Genomic DNA, 24,525 nt, shown 5'->3' with positions numbered 1-24,525 from the left:
CCCTCCTTCTAGTCTGTCCCACTCCAACCCATCCAGTAAGTGTCTTCCAGAGGAAACTTCTGAAAGTATGGTTATCACTCCATAGCTCAAATGCAAACACATGCTGTTGTGCTGCCAGCCCAATCACCACCCAAGTTTTACCACCTTGGGTTCAAGGCCTCTCCTAAACGGATCCATTTTATTTCCAACCACACATCCAAGTACAGTAGTTGAGATGACTGGCCTGTCAGGCAACCTGTCTTCCAACCAACAATCATCATAAAGTTCCTGCTATGTGCCAGGCACAATGTGGCACTCTTACACTCTTGAGAGCAAGAGTAACCAGAACAATTATGGTTCCTGCCATCATGAAGTTTACAGTCTAGTGAAGAACCCAGACATCAGATACTTATAAATAGATAATTAAATGATTACAGTTCTTTGAAGTGGTTTGGAGGACAATCACAGTTTGCTGTATGGACTAAATTTAAACCAGGGACCATGAAAAGGGCTCCAGAGGAAGTGACATTTAAGGTGAGACTGAAGTTTACATTGGAGGGTTTGAGACAGGAGGGGGAAGAGGGAGGGGGGAGAGGACAGTGATCCAGGCAGAAGTTCTGAAACCAGCCAGCGCGGGTATGTTTGAGGAACTGAAAGGCCAATGTGGCTGGAAAGAAGATAAAGTGAGACTGTGATGGTCAGCATGGGCCAGATGGTGCAAGACTTACGGGCAAGTTTCCTCAGCCAGAAACTCTCTCCCTCATTCATGGCCTCAGGAATGACCCCTGGTTGGGGCTCAGAGAATGATACCCCAAAGTATGGTGCTTTAGTATTGTTTCTGAGCAAATAGGCTCACTGCCTGATGCACATAGAAGCCAATACTATGGTACCAGCTTTTGAGAACAGAAAGGCTTTATTGCAGGGCCACCCAGCAAGGAGACTGGAGGCATGGCTCACATCTGTCTCCTAATTTGGGGTCTGGGGCAAGATTTAAGGGGTCAGAGGGTGATATGGTTTGGCTGTGTCCCCACCCAAATCTCATCTTGAATTCTCACATGTTGTGGGAGGGACCCAGTGGGAGATAATTGAATCATAGGGGCAGGTCTTTCTTGTGCTGTTCTTGTGATAGTGAATAAGTCTCATGAGGTCTGATGGTTTTGAGAAACAGGAGTTTCCCTGTACAAGCTCTTTGTTTTTGCCTGCTGCCATCCATGTAAGATGTGACTTGCTCCTCCTTGCCTTCTGCCATGATTGTGAGGTTTCCCCAGCCACGTGGAACTGTAAGTCCAATTAAACCTCTTTTGTAAATTGTCCAGTCTCAGGTATGTCTTTGTCAGCAGCGTGAAAACAGACTAATACAGATGGCAAGGAAACGTATTAGGAATTTTGGCTTGGCAGGGTCTGATTGGAGGGTGTCAAATTTGACTACACGGGTATGTTGAGGTGGATTTTACCCCTGGATCTTTCTGGTCAACAGACCCTTTGCTCCTGAAAGAGTTCCAGCATTTAGGTTCCGATCATGTCTAGGTCTTCTTGGTACCACAGGGAGGAATCATTGGTTCTGGGTGTTGTTAGATGTCAAAGCATTTTCTATTGGGCATGCCCTACTGACATGACTTGGAGTTTTGGCTCTGTCATACCTACAAGAGAACATGACATTCTGTTATCAAAAGAGTAGGCCCAGTTTGGATTGGTCCTGAGGTTACAGCATGCTGAGCACTTTTGAATGAAAAGAAATGGGAAGGTCTTAGAAGCTGCCTTAGAACCAAGGACTTTCTAACCTTCTCTTGCCCCCTGACCCCCACCCTAAGTACAGGGAGAAGCTCTCTCTAGAAGTTCCCTTATCTGACTGAGAAAATTTCTTTCAGAAGAAATGCAATTGTCTCAAATCTCCCTCCACAGGAAACTCATCAAATAACCAGGAAAGATTAACCACTGGAGAAGAATAAAAACTAAAAGTCACCAACTCACCACTACACCTAGAGAGACTTTTAATCTATTCTTCTGATGGGAGCTCTAACAGATTACCTGAGAGACCTTATGTGCATAATAAGACAACCTTTGTTCACAATGGAGTTCTGCCCCTCACCTTCCCACAATTTGTTGCCACCTCCTCCAGAGCTCATAAGAACTTTGTCCCAAGGCATTGTTTGTTCTTGGGGCTCATTCATTTCCCCTAAAAATTATTTGCTAGCCCTCCCTAAAAATTATTTGCTAGCCCTCAAAATTGCCTACATTTCCCCCATCTCCGTCTTTCCTGGGTGCCATTTAAGTAAGCATCAGCCACCTGTTCCTTCTTTGAGCCTCATATTTTGTATTACTCCTGTGCACACTCACACACTAATACACTTGTATGCCTTTTCTCCTGTTATTCTGTCGATTGTCAGTTAATTTCAGCAAATCTTTAGAGGGCAGAGGGGAAACTTTTTTGCTCCATACCCTCATTCAGTTCTCAGCAAAAAAATCAGCTCCTCAGTGATGCACTCTCTAAGTGCCCTGCCTCAAGTAGCCGTTCCTCCAATCCCCAGCACCTCTGTCTACCTTGCTCTGATTTGTTGTATTCATAGCACTTACTACTCTGGAATTTTCTTCTTAAGTGTTGATTGTCTCTGTGCTCCCACCACCCACAGTAGAGTGTAAGCTCCAAGACAGCAGAAACTGTGTCTTTCTTGTTGACCTTTTCTATCTCCAGTTTTTACAATAGGGCTTGGCACATAGGAAGCACCCAATCAATATTTGTTGGATGAATGAAATGCCTGGGGAATAACATGAATAGATATTTCGTTCAAAGTGGATCACTGTCTGCTCTGTGGAAAGTAGATTAGGAGGAGGAGGCCAGGCTGGAAGCAAGGAACAAGTGGGAAGTTACTTTGTTGGTGCAAGACAGAGATGAGATGCCCTTTTGCATATTAACTCTTCATAAGAGTTCAGTGAGTTAGTTCTACCCTTGTCATCACTCCCTCTGTTTTACAGATGAGGAAACTAAGGCATAGAGAAGTTCATACTGCCAATCACCTGAGTGGTGCTAGGATTTGAGCACACAGTCTGACTTCAGAGTCCATGCTCTTGGCCACTATGCCATATTGCCTTTTGTACCTGTAACTTTTATTTTTCTCTCCAAGCTTTTGCTTACGTTGTTTCTTCTTCCGGAATGCCTTTCGTTCTCCTTCTCCTCTGAATACTGCCCACCTGTCAAAGTCCCTCTCACTCACATCCTGTTCATCCTGCCCTTTTGTCTTGATACCTTACAGTCCACACCACGTCTTTTGCATGATTCCTGAGAGTATCTTATCTTACAGATATCCACAAAGAATCATACACTATCTGAGCTGGAAGAGAAATAGAAAATACAAAATCCAAAATACAAAATAAAGAAATTTATAGGAGGCCATTGGTTTGGACTGAGCTCTTCTGCTAGGCCTAACAGACCAAGCTAAAAAGAGTTAGTCCTGCTGAAGCTCCACGCCAATAAGCTGAAACGAAGATCTTTACGACCTTCTGAGTGTGTATGTGTGTGTGTGTGTGTGTGTGTGTGTGTGTGTGTGTAGGGGGGAGCTAAATTCCCAAACAGGCAAGTTTTAGGTGGCATGATAAGTCCCCTCCACTTTAACCTTTACAAGAAAAGTAATTTTGAAATTACCAAATGACCAATCCGCTTTTTGTTCTCTGTTCCTGTTTTCCTCAGTCCTTTTCTGTCTATAAAACCAAGTTCTCCTGTTCAGCTCATTGGAACAACCATTATATTTTATAGTATGAGGCACTGCCCAATTCTATAGAATCGCACCTTAAGTCCCAGCTACTCCGGAGGCTGAGGCAGAAGGATCACTTGAGGCCAGGAGTTCCAGGATGCACCTGTGATAGCCATGATTGCTATGACCGCACCTGTGAATAGCCACTGCCTTCCAGCCTGGGCAACATTGCCAGAGTCCGTCTCTTAAGAAAAAAAAAATCTTTGAACTAAGTTTGTTGTGATTTTGTCTTTTGACAAAGAAGAAAGGGCAATGTGAATTGCCCCAAATCACAGAGCGAAATGGTAGTAGTCAGGACCAAAACACTTTCTTAGCCGTTTTCTTAGTTCTTGTACCCATCTGTTTCTGTATTTTCTTCACCAGGCCATCCAGCAGTGTCTCTTAAAGGGTAGCCCGAGAAACAACTGACTTAGAAAAGCGTGGGGCACAGTCTGTCTACGCAGACCCGAGGAATCTGCATTTTAACAAACTCACTGGGAAATTCTCGCGCACGCCAAGGTTTCAAAGACCAGGGTCCCGTGGCACAGTGCCGCACAGTTGTCAAAACAAGTGCTGTCCAATTGTTTTGGTTTTAAATTCTCACTGCGTCATGGGAAATGTAGTTTCGAGCCTCCTCTCTCCCGACGCCCCAGCCAATCCTCCGGCGCTTTACGGAACGAGCCGAGTCAATCCGGAAATAACCGAGTGTTCGTGGCGGGCCCTTTCCTGCCCGGCTGCATTCTGGGAAAGGGCAATTTCCGTTAGGTGCTGAAGGCTGTGGCGCGCGGCTGTCCCCATTCCCACGTGAAGCGCTACGCTAGCATCGCTCGGCTGGCGGCTCCCAGCTCGCCGCGGAGCAGTCCCGGCAGCAGCGGGGGACCGGAAGTGGCTCGCGGAGGCTCAGAAGCTAGTCCCGGAGCCCGGCGTGTGGCGCCTCGGAGCACGGTGACGGCGCCATGTCCCTAATCTGCTCCAGTGAGTGTTGGCTGCGGCCAAGCGCGGGTCTCAGGAGGCCAGAGAGCGGCGCGGGAGCGTGTGCGGTCCGCTGCGGCGCCCGGGCCGGGGTGGAGGCGGGAATGGGGCGCTCCGGAGGCCGAGCGGCGGCCTGTCAGCACCGGAGCCCCCCCCGTCGGAGCGGGGTGCATTTGCGCAGTGCCCCGCAGTTTACATAGTGCCTGAGGTTTATTGTCGCAGACATTACTGAGGCCGGTCGCCTCATTCTACAGAGTGGAAACAGGTCTGGACAGAGAGAGCTGGTGCAAGGGAAGCAGCCTTAATGTAGGAGTCAGAAAACTCGAGGTCTTGTCCAGGGTCCGCCTCCCATTGGCTTTATGAATTGGCTCAAGGCTCTGGGCCTCGGTTTCCCCATCTGCAAAATCGAGAGCATTGCAGTGGATGTTTTGCGAGGCCTCGCTCGGATAGTCGGAGCTTTTGCAATTTGCAAAGGTCACATGATGAGTTAGAGGTAGAGGCAAGGCTGGCAGCCAGGTATCTGGCTCCCAGCCTTACACTGTATGACTAATAAAAACAGCGCACATTTATAAGCCCTTATTGGTTTACAACGCGCTTCCAAGTCTATGATCTCATTTTATCCTCACAAGAATTCCCTAAAGGAGAAATAAAGATCCTGGTTTTGCAGATGAGGATGCAAGGCGCAGGAAGAGCGGGGCTTATCTAAGGATGCGTAGCTAGTCAGTGGCAGAGCTGGGTGACGTAGTTAGGTGACACGGATCTTGGACCCTGAATCCATGCTTTTTTCATACCTTCCACTATCTTTCCCTTTGATATTTTATCATGACGTACAGACATTTTCCTTTCCCTTTTCGTTGTTTCATCAGATTACTCGTTTCCCCTCCCTTTTGCTATTCACTTCCTTCTCTTCTCAGAACCTGTACATTGATCCAAAGAGGGGGAAGAAGGAAGGGAAATGATGGAAAAGGAATCCCTCACTTTGAAGAAATTACAGCTCGCAAAGTACCTTCACATTTATTGTTTCCTTCCAATCTTCGGGAAGCTCTCTTTTACGTTCCCCAGCACCATCCTTCCTGGCATGGTTCACTCATTTGTTAGATGTTTACCGAGTGCCCTGGGGGCATCTGCATTGTACTGGAAGTGAGAGACCAGCTGTAATCCTTATCCTCAAGGGGTGCACAGTCTACGCAGGCAAGAGTGTAAATGATACCTCTATTGCGGGTTGTTGTGAAGATGAATTACTGTACTGTATGCCTAGAATTGTGCTTGGCACATAGAAATGTGCCATGCAAATGTGCCATGTAAATATTTTTAAATATTTTTATTGTAGCGATTGCCACTTTGCTCCTTGGAATCTTCCAGGTGATAAGTGTCTGTACGCTAATCAGTTGACTGGTAGCTGGTAGACTCAATAGCTTCAGGATGGGGACTGGTCACCTAGGAAGACTAAAGGGTATTAGAAGGTTGGGATTTTCAGTCCTACCCCCCATTTACCTGGGGAAATGAGAGGAACTGAAGTCGTCACTAGTGACCAGTGATTTATTGAATCATGCCTTTGTAATGAAGTTTTCATAAAAATACAAAAGGACAGGATTCAAAGAGCTTCTGTATAGCAGAACATGTGGGGGTTCCTGGAGGGTGGGGTGCCCAGGGAAGGCATGGGAAGCTCTGTACTTCTCCCATACCTCATCCTATGCTCCTCTTCATCTGTATCCTTTGTAATATCCTTTACAATAAACTGGTAAACATAAGTGTTTCCCACAATTGTTTGAGTCACTGTTGCAAATTAATTGAACCCAAAAAGGAGGTCATGGGAACCCTGATTTACAGCTGGTAGATCAGAAGAACAGGTCAAACAACCTGGGGCTTGCGATTGGCATCTGAAGGGGCGGGGAGTCTGGTGGGACTGAGACCTCAACCTGTATGATCTGACACTATCTCCAGGTACCTGGTGTCAGAATTGAATTGGAGGACACCCAGATGGTCACATCTGAGGTCACAGAAGTATTTTGTTTTGTCAGAGAATAGGAGAAACTGAGTTTGTTATTCCTGTATTCTCAGACTTTATAATTTCTTTGATAATCTGTCTGGAGCTATAGACTAAGATGGATGGCAGGGATTTGAATGGCTTCATGTGTATCTCCATGTCATGGAGTAAACTGTATTCATAGAGTACACAATCATTGTTCAGATATGAGGTGGTGATAATGGACTGCTATTCTCTAGGTGCTTGGCACATAGTAGTTGTTAATAATTATTTGTTGACTATATGATTGTCAGATAGTCAGGAGACTATCTCCTCAGTCAGGAGACTAAAGGAAAAGGTAGTTCCATAGCTGGAAAGCATTCTGGGGCCAGTACAGAACTGGCTTAGGGTCAAATGTCTTGCTTTCTGCTAGTTGAGTGTGAGGATGCCTAGTCTTGTTGGGGCTAATAGCAGATGAGGAATCCTCTAGGCCCAAGATTGCCTTCACTCCAAGCTCACTACCAGCCTTTTCTCTACAGTCTCTAACGAAGTGCCGGAGCACCCATGTGTATCCCCTGTCTCTAATCATGTTTATGAGCGGCGGCTCATCGAGAAGTACATTGCGGAGAATGGTACCGACCCCATCAACAACCAGCCTCTCTCCGAGGAGCAGCTCATCGACATCAAAGGTGCCTATTGGCTGCCTTAGTCTAGGGCCATCTTAGCTCAGAGCCTGAGAGGATGGGAGGTGGTGCCAGTGCACTGGAGGAAGAGATGGTGGGCTGTTTATGGCTAAAAGGAAAAGATGTGATGGCGGGGGAGGCCCCTGGGTTATGTTCTTCATACCTGCTTTCCCTTTCGGCAGTTGCTCACCCAATCCGGCCCAAGCCTCCCTCAGCCACCAGCATCCCGGCCATTCTGAAAGCTTTGCAGGATGAGTGGGTGAGTTCCTGCAAGAGAATCAGCATCTTCCCCACTTGAAGAGAATGCATTGCTGGGTTAGGACTTGGGGGTAGGAAGGATGGAGCATTATTTAGAGGGTAAACTTTGTGACATCAGGGATTTGTTTTATTCTTCGTTGTATCCCCAGCACTGAGAGCAGCACCTGGTACATAGTAGGTGCTCTAGAGTTATGAATTGAATGATTGAATACATCCTGCAGGACTGTCTGGCACAGTGCCTGACACAACGAGGGCGATCAATAAATAGCAGCAGCAGCAGTGTTGTTATTCTCTTTTAGAGAGGGGACGGCATGACAGCTGGGATTTGCCAGTAAGTTAGGGAAGGTGGGGATGGGAAAGAGCTGGCTCCCACTCCTGTCTGTGTGCCCAGTGGTTCGCTTGGGGTAGGAGCTCAAGAGTGTCTGCCGGCACATTCGTGTTTGCTCGGATATTGTTTGGGTCACTGATACTGGTCTAGGCTCTGGGATAGGAGGCAGCATCCCCTCCCCAAGGGCTGACTCCACTGGGTACTCCCTGCACCCCCCACCTCACCTTACAATGATATTTGCTTCTCCCAGGATGCAGTCATGCTGCACAGCTTCACTCTGCGCCAGCAGCTGCAGACAACCCGCCAAGAGCTGTCACACGCTCTGTACCAGCACGATGCCGCCTGCCGTGTCATTGCCCGTCTCACCAAGGAAGTCACTGCTGCCCGAGAAGGTGCAGCCTCTCCCCTGCCATCCCCCACCCTGGGCTGGTTCTGCATTGTAATATCCCATTTCTAACATCGTCTTTTCTCTCAGCTCTGGCTACCCTGAAACCACAGGCTGGCCTCATTGTGCCCCAGGCTGTGCCAAGTTCCCAACCAAGTGTTGTGGTAAGTGTCCCCCTTCCCTTACCAGCAGCCCATTTGTGTACAGTGGCCCACAGAACTGTCCTTATGCAGGTGTCTTTGGTGCTCTGTGCCTCTCACCCTCACCTTTCTTCTCTTCAGGGTGCGGGTGAGCCAATGGATTTGGGTGAGCTGGTGGGAATGACCCCAGAGATTATTCAGAAGGTAAGTCCTGCTCTCACCTGGTGGGAGTGCTGATGGGCCCTTACTTTTCACCATCTGTCTGGAGTCCATCGTGACTAAAATCACTGTGCTTTTGGGAGTTGAGTGGTGCAGAGCATGGACCCTGGGACCAGATTGCCTGGGTTTGTATTTTGATGCCACTACTTGTAAGCTTTATGACCTTGGCTTACTTAGCCAACCCTTACGTGTCTCATTTCCCTAGCTTCTAAACTGAGAATATGATCATATCCACTGTATAGGCAGGCTGTGGGAATTTAAAAGATTTCATTACTGATAAGTGCACCTTTTAGCTCTTATTGTTATTGAGATTCTTTGCAGATAGTAAACTACTTTTATATATTTTCTTGTTTTTTTTCTATGAGGGCAATAGGATAGGAATTATAATCCTTATTTTGCAGATGAAAGACACATCTGAGAGGCAGAGCTGGGCTTCCTGATTGCAAGTCCAGTGGGATTCTCATTTGCAGGGCTTCTTAGTGTCTTTCTGAGCAGTTCAAATTGTCAGCATGTGTCTGAGCCCTTGGCTTAGTGGCGTGTAGACCTATGGGAGCTCTACAGTCCTAGCTTCTATTCTTGCTCTGCTGTTTATCACCTCTGCGACCTTGGGCAATTGACTTCACTTCTCTGAGGCTCAGTTTCCTCAGCTGTAAAATAAGGTCATCAACACCCCCCTCATAAAGCTGGGATGGAAGTAAGAAGAGAGAATGCCTTTAAGCCTGTAACGTAGAAGTTGGCAGATAGCAAGTTCTTGGTGCTGCTTTTGAAAGCACAGGTGTGACCAGCATCTAATGTACTTTTCTCCTTGCAAGATGATTTGTCTCACATTGAGCCTGTTCTTCCCCAGCTTCAAGACAAAGCCACTGTGCTAACCACGGAGCGCAAGAAGGTGAGTTCTCTTTCTGAAGCCTGGAGAAAGAGCTGGCCTGGTGGGAGGCGGTTGACTCCTTAGGAGAGAGAGGGCGGCTGAATCTTGGATTCATTGCTGCTCTTCTTTGGGGGCTTTTCATTTTCTCAGAGAGGGAAGACTGTGCCTGAGGAGCTGGTGAAGCCAGAAGAGCTCAGCAAATACCGGCAGGTGGCATCCCACGTGGTGAGTGTCTGGGTCTCCACTGTCTTGGAGACAGCCCTCCCGTTTTGTTTCTGGGGTGGGCGGGCCAGCATGGGGAGTGCTGAGTGCAGAGCTGTCCCAGGTTCCTGGCGCTGTTCCTGGTGCTGTTTCTCGCCTGGGCTGCTGAGTTGTCAGGGCTCCTCTTTCTGCCCAGCTGTGGGTTTCCTAGTGATGCAGTGAGGGAGTTACCGTACCAGGCAGATAGCCAAGAGGTATGGATAAGGAATAGAAGTAACTCTTGCTCCCCTGAGAACATGGGTGACTGGAGATGGCAGTAGGGGAGGTCTGTGGCTTTGTGGCCTGCTGTGATTTGGCCGTGACAGGGTTTGGTGTGTCTCTCTGCAAAGGGGTTGCACAGTGCCAGCATTCCTGGGATCCTGGCCCTGGACCTCTGCCCGTCCGACACCAACAAGATCCTCACTGGTGAGAGTCTGGGCCTAGCCCGGCAGGCCAAAGTGGGGAGGGGCAGCAGGGAAGGCGCATGCTCCTTGTCCTCTTCATGGGCATGGGAACAAAAGCATTTCCTTGAGCAAAAGGGCCTGGGTGGGCCTGACTCATTGTTTGGTCTTTTTGGGTCTTCTCCAGGTGGGGCGGATAAAAATGTCGTTGTGTTTGACAAAAGTTCTGAACAAATCCTGGCTACCCTCAAAGGCCATACCAAGAAGGTCACCAGCGTGGTGTTTCACCCTTCCCAGGTAAGGGGTTCTCCTCGCCACCCTTGGTTCTTCTTTCCTTGGCTGTTGTTTGTCCCTCACCCCGCTGCTGTCTCTGTGAAGTGGGGCTGGGAAAGAGCTCTGACTCTGACTCCTGAGTGGGCACTTGGAGGGGCTCACTTTGGAGTTGTGGAGATTGCCCTTCACTCTGCGTGAGACCTTCTAAAGCAGTGATCTTCCAGCCAGGGAGAGAACGGAAATGTGTAGTTTGACAAGCATATTCATTGAAATATTTCATATTAGGGAAAGAAAAAATCTTATAGTGTTCCTAATATAAACTACAGAAAACAAAGCTCAACACAATCTCAACTCACACTTACGAGGAGGACAGATATATCTGCTTTCCCATGATCCTCCAAGATGGGTAAAAATCATGTTGACTGTTGAAAGTGGTGTAGGTTGTAAACAGAACCTCTGGTTTACAGGGTAAAGGTAACTCATGGGACCAGATTAATGATATTATGGGATTCGAATTTTAAGCCTAAGACAGTTTGGGTTTGGGGCTGCAGGACATGGTTGGTTTAGTGCTTCGCAGTCAAGATTTCCCTTGGACCTTAGGGAAATGAGAAATATAAGAATAACATGGTGAATTTTTCATGACTAAATTTGTTCAAATTGAGAGCACTGTTTTCTTGCTTATGGGGTATTAATAGTTAGGTCTCATGAAATTGTATTGATAAAAAAAGATGGTAGTTATTTTTACCTTATGGCTTTTAATATCCTAACTAAACAAAAAATTGGTGAGTGACGCGAAATTCTCTCCCTGCCCCAAATCTTTTGGAAAATTAACTTACCCTGGAAATCCATAAAAGTGGAATGCACTGAAATACAGCCATGCAGCCCCTTCCAGTCCCAGTACTGCTCAGACCTGTGCCATACAGTACAGTAGCAGTTAGCTGCATGTGGCTATTTAAATTTCAATGAAATAGAATAAAAAATTCAGTCCCTCAATTGTACTAGCTACATTTTTCCTTTGGTCCTGGAAATGGGAAAATTGCTCTCTGTTGCAGTTAGCCTTTTTACCACTAGATGGCGAGGACGCCTCCACAAGCCCTGATGCTGTATGAGTTAGCACTTTAATAGCGTTTACCATTGGCTGTCTTGGGCACCATTGGGTGGATAGGTGGTTCCAGGGAGGGCAGAGCTGAAAGGAGAAGCAATTGTTGGCAGTTGTGGGCATCCCCAGCCCCGTTTTATAAGATTGTTTTGGTCTGTATCTCTTTTCTGACTCTGATATTCTGTCTTTGTTTTCCTTGTAGGACCTGGTGTTTTCTGCTTCCCCCGATGCCACTATCAGGATTTGGTCGGTCCCCAATGCCTCTTGTGTACAGGTGGTTCGGGCCCATGAGAGTGCTGTGACAGGCCTCAGCCTTCATGCCACTGGCGACTATCTCCTGAGCTCCTCCGATGATCAGGTGCGGTCCCAGCCAGTGCCCTGGAGAGGCCTGCTGGTCCCCAAGCTTGAACATCCTGGGTGGCAGGAACATCTTCCCACCCCAGCTGGTTCCCCAGAACCTCAAAGGAGAATGTTTGCCAGGGTTTGCCAAACCAGGGGCTCTGTCTTGCTGAAGGGCCACCAGAACCTGGGACCCACTTTCTCACTGACTCCATTGTCTCTTTTTTTTTCCCCAGTACTGGGCTTTCTCTGACATCCAGACAGGGCGTGTGCTCACCAAGGTGACAGATGAGACCTCCGGCTGCTGTAAGTTGCCTCATAGGCACTCAGCTTTTTTGTTTGCTGTTTATTATTTATTTTTACATTTTATTTAGTCATTTGTTTATTTGTTCTAAAGATATATTTACCATGAGCACCTGTCTAGTGCGGGCTTTGTGCTGGGTTCACTGAGGAATGTGAAGAACAAGGAACCTACCTTTGCTGCTCTTAGTCTCTCTCCCTGGTGGGCTCTGACCACAGGTCTCTCTTCCCTCCTCCACAGCTCTCACCTGTGCACAGTTCCACCCTGACGGACTCATCTTTGGAACAGGAACCATGGACTCTCAGATCAAGATCTGGGACTTGAAGGTAGGACATGGTAGGCCTCCATCTGAGGCCCAGGGCCAGAGGGAGTGTTTGTGACAATGCAGTGCTAATTAGGTGCTTGTGGCACCTGGCCCTGAAGGTGGAGAGACACTGGCTGTGCGTGTGTGATATGATGGTGTGGTCTGGGGGGTCCCGCTGGCTGTCCTTCCTGGAAGGACGTGAGGGACATCTCAGGTAGGAGTTTGGTGAGCCCCATTTTCTTCCTCTCATGATCTGTGGGTGACGTATTTTACTACCCACCGCCACTGTAGGAACGTACTAATGTGGCCAACTTCCCTGGCCACTCGGGCCCCATCACTAGCATCGCCTTCTCTGAGAATGGTTACTACCTGGCTACAGCGGCTGATGACTCCTCTGTCAAGCTCTGGGATCTGCGCAAGCTTAAGAACTTTAAGACTTTGCAGCTGGATAACAACTTTGAGGTGTGCCCTTCCCCCTCCGCCCAGCTTTCCATTGTGTCTCCTTGTTTGTCAATTATTTATTGAATTAATCTAATTGCTTCTGCTTATCCGCAACTGCCCCATAGTTTCTGTTCCCCTTGTGTGACCTTCTCTCTTTCTATTTCTGGCAGGTAAAGTCACTGATCTTTGACCAGAGTGGTACCTACCTGGCTCTTGGGGGCACGGATGTCCAGATCTACATCTGCAAACAATGGACGGAGATTCTTCACTTTACAGGTAGAGGCTGGTCCTGGGCTCCTGGGATCTCTCTAGGTGCCCAGGCCCGGAGGGAAGCCTCACTGGGTTAGGAATTTCTAGGGCTTGCATGAATTTACCTAAGCAGCTTTCTGTTACCACCTGAGGCAGAGCTTTATGACTAAGGAAGCAACTGAGTCAGACTGCATGGCAGTAGATGCTAGTGCTTGTTCTGCCACTTCCATGCCCTGTGGCATTGGGCAGGTTACTAAAGGGAGAGAAAAGTCCCTCTGAAGTTTTGATAACTGAATCTAAAATAAATGAACATTAGACAGTGACAGGAGGAGAGCCATTTTAATTACGTGCATATGCACGGGAGGCCCACATTATATTAGATCTGCAGAAGGGTCAGATGATTGAAGCTTATACAGTTTATATATCACTTAATAATGGGGATATGTTCTGAGAAATGTCTTGTTAGGTGATATCGTCATGTGCGACCATTGTAGAGTGAACTTACATATATCTAAATGGTGTAGCCTACTACACGCCAAGACTATTGCTATAACCTTAGTATAGTCTATTATTGCTCCTAGGCTACAAACCGGTACAGCATATTAAATGTAGTGAATACAATTATAACACAATGGTAAGTATTTGTGTATCTAAACAAGTGTAAACATAGAAAAGGTTCAGTAAAAATAAGGTATAAGAGATTTTTTTAAAATGGTACACTGGTATAGTGCTTGCCATGAAAGGAGCTTGCAGGACTGGAAGTTGCTTTCAGTGAGTGAGTTGTGAGTGAATGTGAAGGCCTAGGACATTACTGTACGCTGCTGTAGACTTTATAAACACAGTACACTTAGGTTTTACTAAATTCATAAAAAACTTTTTCTTCAGTAATAAGCCTTAGCTGACTTTTACTTTATAAACTTAAAAAAATGGATTCTTTTGTAATAACATTTAACTTAAAACTAAAACACATTGTACAGCTGTACAAAAATATTGTCTCTCTTTACATCCTTGTTCTATAAGCTTTTTTCTAATTTTTTTATTTTTATTTTTTACTTTTTAAACTTTTCTTGTTAAAAACTAAGACACAAGCACACATTACCCTAGGCCTACACAGGATCAGGATCACCAACTGTATTAGTCCGTTCTCACACTGCTATGAAGAACTGCCTGGGTAATTGATAAGGGAAAGAGGTTTAATTGACTCACAGTGACTCGGGAGGCCTCAGGAAACTTACAGTCATAGCAGCAGGGAAAGCAAACATGTCTTTCTTTACATGGCAACAGGAGAGACAAATGCTGAGCAAAGGGGCTAAAGCCCCTCATAAAACCATCAGATCTCGTGAGAACTCACTATCATGAGAACAGCATGGGGGTAACCACCCCCATGATTCAGTTACTTCCCACTGGCTCCCTCCCACAACACGTGGGGATTATGGGCACTACAATTCAAGATGAGATTTGGGTGGCGGCACAAAGCCTAACCATAGCACCAACATCACTGTCTTCTACCTCCACATCTTTTCCCACCGGAAGGTCTTCGGGGGCACCAACATGCATAAACCTGTCATCTCCTATGATGATAATGCCTTCTTCTCGGATACCTCCTGAAAGGGCCTGCTTGGTGCTGTTTTACAGTTAACTTTTTTTTATAAGTGGGAAGAGTATATTTAATACCAAAAAAAGTATAGTATAGGCATACCTTGTCTTATTGCACTTAGCTTTATTGTATTTTATGGATACTTTGCTTTTTATAAATTGAAGGTTTTTGGCAACCTTGCCCCAAGCAAGTCTGTCAGTACCATTTTTCCAACAACATGTGTTCACTTTGTGTCTGTGTGTCAAATTTTGGTAATTCTTACAGTATTTCAAACTTCTTCATGATTTATTGTGTCCGTTAGTGATCTTTGATGTTGCTATTGTAATTGTTGGGCGGGGGGGCACCATGAAATGTGCCCATAAAAGTTACTGAATTTATTTGATAAATGAAATGCTGTGTGTGTTCTGACCACTCCACCCACCAGCCGTTCCCCATCTCTCTCCCTCTCAGACTTCCCTATTTCCTTAGACACAACAATATTGAAACTAGGCCAGTTAATAACCGTATTATGGCCTCTCGGTGTCCAAGTGAAAGAAAGTGTCCCATGTCTGTTACTTAAAATCCAAAGCTAGAAATGATTGAGCTTAGTGAAGAAGGCATGTGAAAAGCCAAATAGGCCAAAAGCTAGGCCTCAACACCAAATATTAGTCAAGTTATGAAAGCAAAGGAAAATTCTTGAAGGAAATTAAAAGTGCTACTCCAGTGAACGCACAAATGATAAGAAAGCAGAACATCCTTATTGCTGATATGGAGAAAGTTTCAGTGGTCTGGATAGAATATCAAACCAGCCACAACATTCTTTTAAGCCAAACCATAATCCAGACCAAGATCCTAACTCTTGAATTCTGTGAAGGCTGAGACAGGTGAGGAAGCTACAAAAGAAAAGTTTGAAGCTAGCAGAGGTTGGTTCATGAGGTTTAAGGAAAGAAGCCATCTCCATAACAGAAAAGTACAAGGTGAAGCAGCAGATGCTGTTGTAGAAGCTGCAGCAAGTTATCCGGAAGACCTAGCTAAGATCATTGACGGTGGGTACACTCAACAACAGATTTTCAATGTAGACGGAATAGCCTTCTATTGGAAGAAAGTGACATCTGGAACTTGCACAGCTAGAGAGAAGTCAATGCCTGGTTTCCAAGATGCAAAGATCAGAGTGATTCCCTTGTTAGGGACTAATGCAGCTGGTGATTTTACATTGAAGCCAAAGCTCATTTAGCATTCTGAAAATTGTAGGGCCCTTAAGAAGGTGGGGCTAAATCTACTCTGCCTGTGCTCTGTAAATAGAACAACAAAGTCTGGATGACAACACATCTGTTTACAGCATGGTTTACTGAATATTTTTTAAGCCCCCCATTAAGAGGTACTGTTCAGAAAAATAGATTCCTTTCAAAATATTACAGTGCACCTCATTACCCTAAAGCTCAGATGGAGATGTTTCATGCCTGCAACATCCAATCTTCGGCTTATGGATCAAGGAGTAATTTTGACTTTCAAGTCTTATTACTTAAGAAATACATTTTATAAAGCTATAGCTGCCCTGGATAGTGGTTCCTTTGATGGATCTGGACAAAGTAAATTGAAAACCTGGAAAGGATTCACCATTCTACACGCCCTTAAGAACATTTGTGATTCATGGGAGGAGGTTAAACTATGAACATAAAGAGGAGTTTGGAAGAAATTGATTCCAACCCTTCAGCCCTCATGGATGACTTTGAGGGATTGAGGACTTCCATGGAGGGAGTAACTGCAGATGTGGAGGAAATGGTAAGAGAATTAGAATCCAAAGGGGAGTCTAAAGATGGGACTGAATTGCTGCAATCTCATGTTAAAACTTTAATGGATGAGGAGCTCTTAGGGATGACCAAAGAAAGTGGTTTCTTGATGGAATCTTCTACTGGTGAAGATGCCGTGAACATTGTTGAAATGATAATGAAGGATTTAGAATATTACATAAACTTAATTGATAAAGCAGGTGCAGAATTTGAGAGGATTGATTCCAGTTCTGAAAGTTCTACTGTGGGTAAAATGCTATCAAACAGCATCCATCACAGAGAAATCTTTTGTCAAAGGAAGAATCAAATGATGTGGCAAACTTCTTTGTTGTCTTATTTTAAGAAATTGTCACAGCCACTTCAGCCTTCAGCAAACACCACCCTTGTCAGTTAGCAGCCATCGACATCAAGGCAAGACCCTGCTGGTGGGTCTTGGAAAAAGATGACAACTCACTGAAGTGTCTGATGGTTGTTAGCATGTTTTAGCAATAAAGTATTTTTGATTAAGGTATGTACATTGTTTACTAGACATAATGTTATTACACACTTAATAGACTACAGTATAGTGTAAACATAACATTTTTTTTTGAGATGGAGTCTTGCTCTGTCGCCTAGGCTGGAGTGCAGTGGCACGATCTTGGCTCAATGCAACCTCCACCTCCCAGGTTCTAGCACAGGTGGGCACCATCACACCCGGCTAATTTTTGTATTTTTAGTAGAGACGGGGTTTCCCCATGTTGGCCAGGCTGGTCTTGAATTCCTGAACTCAAGCGATCCACCTGCCTCGGCCTCCCAAAGTGCTGGGATTACAGGCATGAACCACCATGCCTGGCCAACATAACTTTTATATGTAGTGAGAAACCAAAAAAATTTGTGTGCCTTGCCTTATTGCAATATTTGCTTTATTGGTAGCCTGGAGCTGAACCAGCGATGTCCCTGAGATATGTCTGTACATAAACCAGTAACGTACTGTACCTAATTATGTTATACTTTTTTTTTTTTTGAGATTGAGTCTTGCTCTGTCACCCAGGCTGGAGTGCAATGGCATGGTCTTGGCTCACTGCAACCTCCGCCTCCTGGGTTCAAGTGATTCTCCTGCCTCAGCCTCCCGAGTAGCTGGGACTTCAGGCGTGTGCCACCACATCTGGCTAATTTTTTTTTTTTTGTACTTGTATTTGTAGTAGAGATGAGGTTTCACTATGTTGGCCAGGCTGATCTCAAACTCCTGACCTCGTGATCTGCCCACCTCGGCCTCCCAAAGTGCTGGGATTACAGGCGTGAGCCACCGCGCCTAGCTATATTATACTTTTATACAACTGGCAGTGTAGTAGATTTGTTTATACCTGTATCCCCACAAACGTGAATAATGCATTGCATTGTGACATGATGATGGTTATGACATCACTTGGTGATAGGAATTTTTCAGCTCCACTGTAATCTTATGGGACCAGTGTTTGTGTGGTCCGTCGCTGACATGTCATTATGTGACACATGACTCTATGGCATCCTGAACTGCAGAAGGGAGTAGGGGCCTAAGGCTTCTAGGGGGTGGTGGTGACACAAGTTATGTGGGGGGATGGGGAGGAAGTGCACTACAGAGTCTCTCAGGTAATAAAAGTTGTCTCAGAGCAGACCTTAGATAAATAATGCATGACAGTCTGTGACAAAGACTGGCATCTAGTCTTCTCTCTTGTGAGACCAGTTCATTTTCCCTGGTTGAGATTCCCAGGAAGGGGATTCATGATGTTCCTTTCAGATGACCTGCCCTTAGAGAAAGAGGGGCAAGAGACAGGAGGGCAGGACATGGTCAGAGAGACCTTGGTTCAAAGCCCTCAGCGTGCCAAACCACCATACTTTGGGGTATTGTTTTCTGAGATCCAATATTACTTAACCTCTCAGAAAAGTGGGAATGGTAACTATAGACTCAGTGGGGTTGTTGAGGTTTAGATGAAAATACATACAGGTGCTCCTTGATATACGATGGAGCCACATCCTGATAAGTGCATCATAAGCTGAAAATATTGCAAGTTGAACCATGGTAAATCGGGGACCGTCTGTGAATACATAGGTCAGAACGGTGTCTGGCACGTAGTCAGGATTTGCAGTTGTTCTCACTCAGCATTGGGTCTTAGTCTGTGGTGGGATAGAGCAGTGAATAAAACAGACCCGATTTGGGCACTGATGTAATTTATAGTCAGGTTAGTAAGGCAGATGTAGATTAATTTCACATGTACACATTTAATTGCAATTATAAGTGCTAGAGAAGAAAAGCATGAGATGCTGAGAGAATGGGTAACAGGGTTTCTAACCTAACAGTTATGTGGCCCTGGGTACGTGACTTTCCCTTTCAGATCTTGAACTCCTTCATCTAGAAAATGGGAATATTGGCACAGCTTTGCAGGGTGTGACAGCTGGTGTTGTGGAGATGGCATGCTAATATGCTGGTAACAGGGTGCCTGATGCTCACTTAAGATGCTACATGAATGGGAGCTACTGCTGTGTGTGTTGATGAAATTCTCGTCCTCATTAGCAGGTTGTGAGCAGGATACAAGATATTTCTTCTTGCCCCGTATTCTCCTGAGCCCTGCTCAGTGTGTTTGTATAACAAAGGTGTCCATCCTAACAATATGGCTCACCGGTTTTCACCCTGTACTGTACCTGGTGTTTTGATTTAGAACCGAGTTAGGTAGCTGAAAATACAGCGTGAGCTTTTTAATGGGGAGTTGGTTGACTCCAGGTGTGATCCTAAATCTAGAAGGAATTTGGCCAGATGTTCATGAATTTCTGGAGTCCCATGAGGAATGTTGCCCAGCCTCATCTGCCTCTTATCTGGTCCTGCTCTGTGTTAGGGGCCTGAGTGCCCTGGGGTTGGAACACTATGAGCTAGAAAATGCTGATGGACTGTTCCACTTACGAGCAAGTAGTGAGCACTAGGCATAAACAAGCTGAGCTCTGAGGTTTTTCAACTAAACCTAGCCGAACTGCAGTTGCCCAGAAAGCTCAGGTGAGAAGGGGGGGCTGGCATTGCTTTATTCATTCATCCCACCAGTGAAAAATGCCAGGCACTGAGGGAGGCACTGGGGGTAGTGTGCAGGTCAGCCTAGGGAAAACAAACAGGAGCCTGCGGTGTGATAAATACTAATTAGAGAAGGCCTGGTTGTTTGGGAATCTGTTATTAGGGATCAGTGTTCAGACTAAAGGAGGAAAAGCCTTCTCACAGTTGCCTCTTATCTTTCTCCTCAGAGCATAGCGGCCTGACCACAGGGGTGGCCTTCGGGCATCACGCCAAGTTCATCGCTTCAACAGGCATGGACAGAAGCCTCAAGTTCTACAGCCTGTAGGCCCTGGCCCTTCTGATGGAAGCTGGGCCTCATCTCAGTAGAGGGGTAGAATTAGGGTTTGGGGGGGGGGGTGGGGGGAATCTATGGGGGGAGGGGGCTCTGTGGGGTGGGACATTCACATCATTTCACTCTGGTCTGAGTGGTGGCCTGAGAACCATGGTGGCATGGACCACCCTCATCCATGCAACTCCAGGCCCCATGGGAACGGATGTGGAAGGAAGAACTGTCACCCTCTTAAGGCCCAGGGTCGGAGCCCAGGGCCTCTCCCTTCCTGTCGTTCAATGGACGTGGTGGTGGCTGTTCCACACCCATTTTGTTGCAGTTCCTGTGAGACAGGAGAGGCTGAGCCAAGGGAACTGTGAAGGGGATGGGCAGGAGGGCTTGTGCAGGGTTTTGTAAGCAGTGATCTAGTTTCATTAAAAAAAGAAAACAATAACCATAACCACCTCCCCGTGTCTGTCTGCACCAGGAGCACCTGGGACTGGGAAGGTCAAGGGGAGGGAGCACACACTGGGACACTGGCTTCCGGGAAGCCCATCTTCCTTTCCTTTCACAGCTCTTACCCTTTTTTTTTTTTTTTAATTGCACAGCAGAAATAAAAACAAATCTGCAGATGAAATTTGCCATGTCCCTGCGGTTCTTGACCTTGTGTCTAAAGGCCTCAAGTCACTAGTCCTGCCACTTGCCTTGTAGACTTGGTTTCCTACACAAGCCTGGAAGGGAGGGAGACCTGCAGGGAAGATTAGCTGGATCTTGCTGGTGGGGAGGTCTGAGCATCTCCATCAGGGTTCTTTAGTTGTAGGCTTTCTAGCCTGTCCTCAGCTGGCATAAGTCAAAAAGGAGATTTTTTTATTGACTCTGGCGATTGAAAAGCTGTGGTAGGACTGGTTTCGGGACAAAGATCTGATAATGAATGTGCCTTATAGGGAATTCCTGTAGGGTCACGTGACTGCTTTAGATTGCAGGTCAGGAAAGGCCTCTGAAGTGGTGGTGATGAAGCTGAAGCTGGAATGAGAGGGACCTGAGAGGGGAGGAGTGTTGGCAGGCAGAGAGCAGGTTCTAGGGCTGGACTGAGCGAGATATATGGAGGAACAGGAAGGAGGTCATGGTGGCAAAGTCGGGGGAACCATGGTGTACAGTCTGGGGTGATTGACAGTCCCCTGACAAGGGCCATCCCAGTGGAAGGTCGGGGCTGGCTGCCTCCCTGGAGTGGGGTAAGAGGATATGAGGTGAGGAAGTGTGGGAGTCAGTGATTATAGACAAAAAATAGTGCTGAGAAGGGGAGCTGAGAAATGGGGTGTTACCAGGAGGGGAGCTTTGGGGGCAAAGTATGGTAGGCCATATTGTGGACATAACAGGAGACCTCCAGGCATGTTTTGCTGGGGCAGTGTTCTGTTGTCAGGGAAGCTCGGCATGCCGTATCTGCCTGGGAGGGTCAGGATGCCTACTAGCTAGGGAAAGCTGAAAAACCCCACAGTAAAGAAACCACTTAACTTATACAAGTTGAATATAAACCATTTAACTTACACCAGTGTTTATTATTAAGAAAAGACCTGGGCCAGGTGCGGTGGCTCACGCCTGTAATCTCAGCACTTCCAGAGGCCAAGGCGGGCGGATCACGAGATCAAGAGTTCGAGACCGGCCTGGCCAAGAAGGTGAAACCCCATCTCTACTAAGAATACAAAAATTAGCTGAGCATGGTGGCAGGTTCCTGTAATCCCAGCTACTCGGGAGGCTGAGACAGGAGAATTGCTTGAACCCAGGAGGTGGAGGTTGCAGTGAGCTGGGATTGTGCCACTGCACTCCAGCCTGGGGGACAGAGCAAGACTCCGTCTTGGGGAAGAAAAAAAAAAAAGACCAATCATACAGTTCTCCCAAGGCAGGACATACTTTAAAAAAAAGTTAGGACAACTGCCTAGTTAAAAGGTGGGCTAACAACAGCTATGGTTTGCAGATGGTAGAATGGGTCACTCGAGTGGGAGAGGGTTGAGGTCGAACTCCCGACCTCAGGTCATCCGCCAGCCTCAGCCTCCGAAAGTCCTGAGATTATAGGCGTGAGCCACCACGCCCAGCCACTCATTTAATTCTTAAAACAACTTTGCCCTTGGCCGGGTGTGGTGGCTCATGCCTGTAATCCCAGCACTTTGGGAGGCCGAGGTGGGTGGATTGCCTGAGGTCAGGAGATGGAGACCATCCTGGCCAACATGGTGAAACCCCATCTCTACTAAAAATACAAAAAATTAGCTGGGTGTGATGGTGCATGCCTGTAGTCCCAGCTGCTTGGGAGGCTGAGGCAGGAGAATCGCTTGAACCCGGGAGGCAGAGGTTGCGGTGAGCTGAGATTGTGCCACTGCACTCCAGCCTAGTGACAGAGCGAGACTCTGTCTCAGAAAAAAGAAAACAACCTTGCTCTTTGCTGTCCAGCAACTCAGCAGATTCTTGGTCCCTGCATAGGACTTCATACCGCTCTTCCTTTGCAGAACGGAGCAGAAGGTGGGAGCATAGTCCTGGCACTGGACTCTCTGGCTTTGAATCCCAGTTCTGGCACTTAGTTGCTGCAAGACCTTGGACAGATTATTTAACTTTTTTCTGTTTGAGTTTCTTCATCCAAAAGATGGGGATAGTGTACTTACTAGAGATATAGTAAGGATTAAGTGAATGTGACAAGTGCTTAGAATAGGAATTGCACATCATAAATGCTGCTACTATTAACTATTACCACTCTCCTGCTCCCTCTCCCTGGAGTCTGCCCTCCCCAGAGATAGACCAAGTCCTTCAGGAAGCCTCTGGAGCCCATTGCTGCCCTGCCAGGTGAGTGAGCTTTCTTGGAGCCCATGGTTCATGCCTTTAGCATAGCTCTGTGTTACCTTGAAGGTGTTTGCGCATTTGTCTTTCCCACTTAGAATCTTAAGAGCAGAACCAGGTATCCGTTGCTATCATTCATCTCTTCAGCTCATGTCACACTGCTGCCAAGTGGCAGATTGAGAGATTCAACCTTGGGGCTCAGTCCAATGCCCAGGCAACGTCTGTCTCTTTCTTTGATAAGTAAACACAGAGGGCTTGACAGAATGTTAGTTATATCAGCCAAAATGAATGAAGAGCTATCACCTCCTGCCACAGCTCACCAGATGTTGGCCCAGCTGCCTTGTAGGTGAACCTTCTGGAAGTAGATCTTGGTTGGGGGTTGGTGGATTCTAAAGGACTCACCTCTGTTGTCTAGCTAGTGAGTTTTGTATTTAGGACCCAGCAGCAGTCAGTAGTCCCAGGTGTCCATAGGGAAATTGTTCGGTGATATTATCAGTGATTACTGCATCTTTTGTGCACTTGGGCCTTTGGTGATCAAACCCTGCTTAGCCTCCGCTATTGAAAGTGAGGAAGCATCTATATTGTTCCTGAGCTTGGAGCACTAACCAAGGAGGTCACCTGGGGGCAGTGTAGTCACAGCAGTCTCCCCAGTAACGTTGGTACTGTGATGGAGCTCCTCACAGTACCACAGAATGACCCTGCCAGACAGGTGGTGGTGTCCCCAGTCTATAGATGAGAAGACAAGCTCAGAGAAGTGCCTTGTTTAGGCCACCCAGTAAATAACGCAGCTAGGGTTTTTAAGCCGTGTGGCTTCAGAGACCAAGCTGATTAAGATAGGCATGGGCAGCTAATGACCCACTGCTCAGCTTTGCAGGAGGTAGTATCATAGTTAAATGCAGGCTCTGGAGCCAGCAGCCCAGGTTTGAATCCCAGCTCTGCACCTTTCTGTGATGTGCATCTTTATGTCTCAGTTTCTTCATCTGAAAAGTCAGTTCCTGGTGCCTACTTCGTAGGGCTCTTGAGAATTTTTATTTTTAGTTTTATTTATTTATTTTTTTAAATAGCATTTCTAATAGAATCTAAACATTGATTGGTCTGACAGGTCTTCTGTGTGGCATTTTTTTGTGTGTTAAATTTCTTAGTGTTTTTTTAAATTATTATACTTTAACTTCTAGGGTACATGTGCACAACATGCAGGTTTGTTACATATGTATGCATGTGCCATGTTGGTGTGTTAACTCGTTAACTCGTCATTTACATTAGGTATATCTCCTCATGCTATGCCTCCCACCTCCGCCCACCCCAGGACAGGCCCTGGTGTGTGATGTTCCCCACCCTGTGTCTAAGTGTTCTCATTGTTCAATTCCTACCTGTGAGTGAGAACATGCGGTGTTTGGTTTTCTGTCCATGCGATAGTTTGCTCAGAATGATGGTTTCCAGCTTCATCCATGTCCCTATAAAGGACATGAACTCATTCTTTTTTATGGCTGTGTAGTATTCCATGGTGTATATGTGCCACATTTTCTTAATCCAGTCTATCACTGATGGACATTTGGGTTGGTTCCAAGTCTTTGCTATTGTGAATAGTGCCACAATAAACATATGTGTGCATGTGTCTTTATAGAAGCATGATTTATAATACTTTGGGTATATACCCAGTAATGGGATGGCTGGGTCAAATGGGATTTCTAGCTCTAGATCCTTGAGGAATCGCCACACTGTCTTCCACAATGGTTGAACTAGTTTACAGTCCCACCAACAGTGTAAAAGTGTTCCTATTTCTCCACATCCTCTCCAGCACCTGTTGTTTCCTGACTTCTTAATGATCGCCATTCTAACC

At 46.4% G+C, this 24,525-nt stretch overlaps 1 protein-coding gene and 1 long non-coding RNA gene across 3 annotated transcripts, besides 7 other annotated features; one reads left to right on the top strand and one right to left on the bottom strand.

Moving 5' to 3' along the window:
• Positions 117–426: an enhancer, noted in NCBI's record as "active region_4783". NCBI's record gives its function as "activates an Ori minimal core promoter by ATAC-STARR-seq in GM12878 lymphoblastoid cells {active_cell/tissue: GM12878}" and the evidence as "EXISTENCE:reporter gene assay evidence [ECO:0000049][PMID:35858748]".
• Positions 146–4,267, bottom strand: PRPF19-DT (PRPF19 divergent transcript). Of its 2 annotated transcripts, none has more exons than NR_186696.1 (2): positions 3,764–4,267; positions 146–1,619 (listed from the first exon to the last, which is right to left on the bottom strand). It is a non-coding gene; the product is annotated as a PRPF19 divergent transcript (long non-coding RNA). The 2 variants fall into 2 exon arrangements; NR_186697.1 differs by having other exon boundaries at positions 4,203–4,267.
• Positions 1,137–1,186: an enhancer, noted in NCBI's record as "active region_4782". NCBI's record gives its function as "activates an Ori minimal core promoter by ATAC-STARR-seq in GM12878 lymphoblastoid cells {active_cell/tissue: GM12878}" and the evidence as "EXISTENCE:reporter gene assay evidence [ECO:0000049][PMID:35858748]".
• Positions 4,009–4,128: an enhancer, noted in NCBI's record as "active region_4781". NCBI's record gives its function as "activates an Ori minimal core promoter by ATAC-STARR-seq in GM12878 lymphoblastoid cells {active_cell/tissue: GM12878}" and the evidence as "EXISTENCE:reporter gene assay evidence [ECO:0000049][PMID:35858748]".
• Positions 4,242–4,829: an enhancer, noted in NCBI's record as "H3K27ac hESC enhancer chr11:60673689-60674276 (GRCh37/hg19 assembly coordinates)". NCBI's record gives its function as "activates a minimal SCP1, AML or CMV promoter by ChIP-STARR-seq in naive H9 embryonic stem cells {active_cell/tissue: H9 hESC(naive)}" and the evidence as "EXISTENCE:reporter gene assay evidence [ECO:0000049][PMID:30033119]".
• Positions 4,242–4,868: a biological region, named in NCBI's record as "H3K27ac hESC enhancer GRCh37_chr11:60673689-60674276".
• Positions 4,461–20,499, top strand: PRPF19 (pre-mRNA processing factor 19). The gene is made up of 16 exons (NM_014502.5): positions 4,461–4,682; positions 7,185–7,334; positions 7,511–7,587; positions 8,165–8,306; positions 8,390–8,463; positions 8,581–8,643; positions 9,506–9,547; positions 9,677–9,751; positions 10,117–10,192; positions 10,355–10,464; positions 11,742–11,897; positions 12,115–12,184; positions 12,420–12,505; positions 12,775–12,945; positions 13,095–13,200; positions 19,783–20,499. Exons 1-16 carry the CDS (start codon positions 4,664–4,666, stop codon positions 19,878–19,880), a joined length of 1,515 nt encoding a protein of 504 aa, NP_055317.1. The 5' UTR covers positions 4,461–4,663; the 3' UTR covers positions 19,881–20,499.
• Positions 4,769–4,868: a silencer, noted in NCBI's record as "silent region_3375". NCBI's record gives its function as "represses an Ori minimal core promoter by ATAC-STARR-seq in GM12878 lymphoblastoid cells {active_cell/tissue: GM12878}" and the evidence as "EXISTENCE:reporter gene assay evidence [ECO:0000049][PMID:35858748]".
• Positions 11,384–11,909: an enhancer, noted in NCBI's record as "H3K27ac hESC enhancer chr11:60666609-60667134 (GRCh37/hg19 assembly coordinates)". NCBI's record gives its function as "activates a minimal SCP1, AML or CMV promoter by ChIP-STARR-seq in primed H9 embryonic stem cells {active_cell/tissue: H9 hESC(primed)}" and the evidence as "EXISTENCE:reporter gene assay evidence [ECO:0000049][PMID:30033119]".
• Positions 20,500–24,525: the final 4,026 nt, after the last annotated feature.

The sequence above is a fragment of the Homo sapiens genome, chromosome 11 (assembly GCF_000001405.40).
Source record: "Homo sapiens chromosome 11, GRCh38.p14 Primary Assembly".
NCBI classification, from domain to species: domain Eukaryota; kingdom Metazoa; phylum Chordata; class Mammalia; order Primates; family Hominidae; genus Homo; species Homo sapiens.
This window is presented reverse-complemented; position numbering and strand designations above follow the sequence as displayed.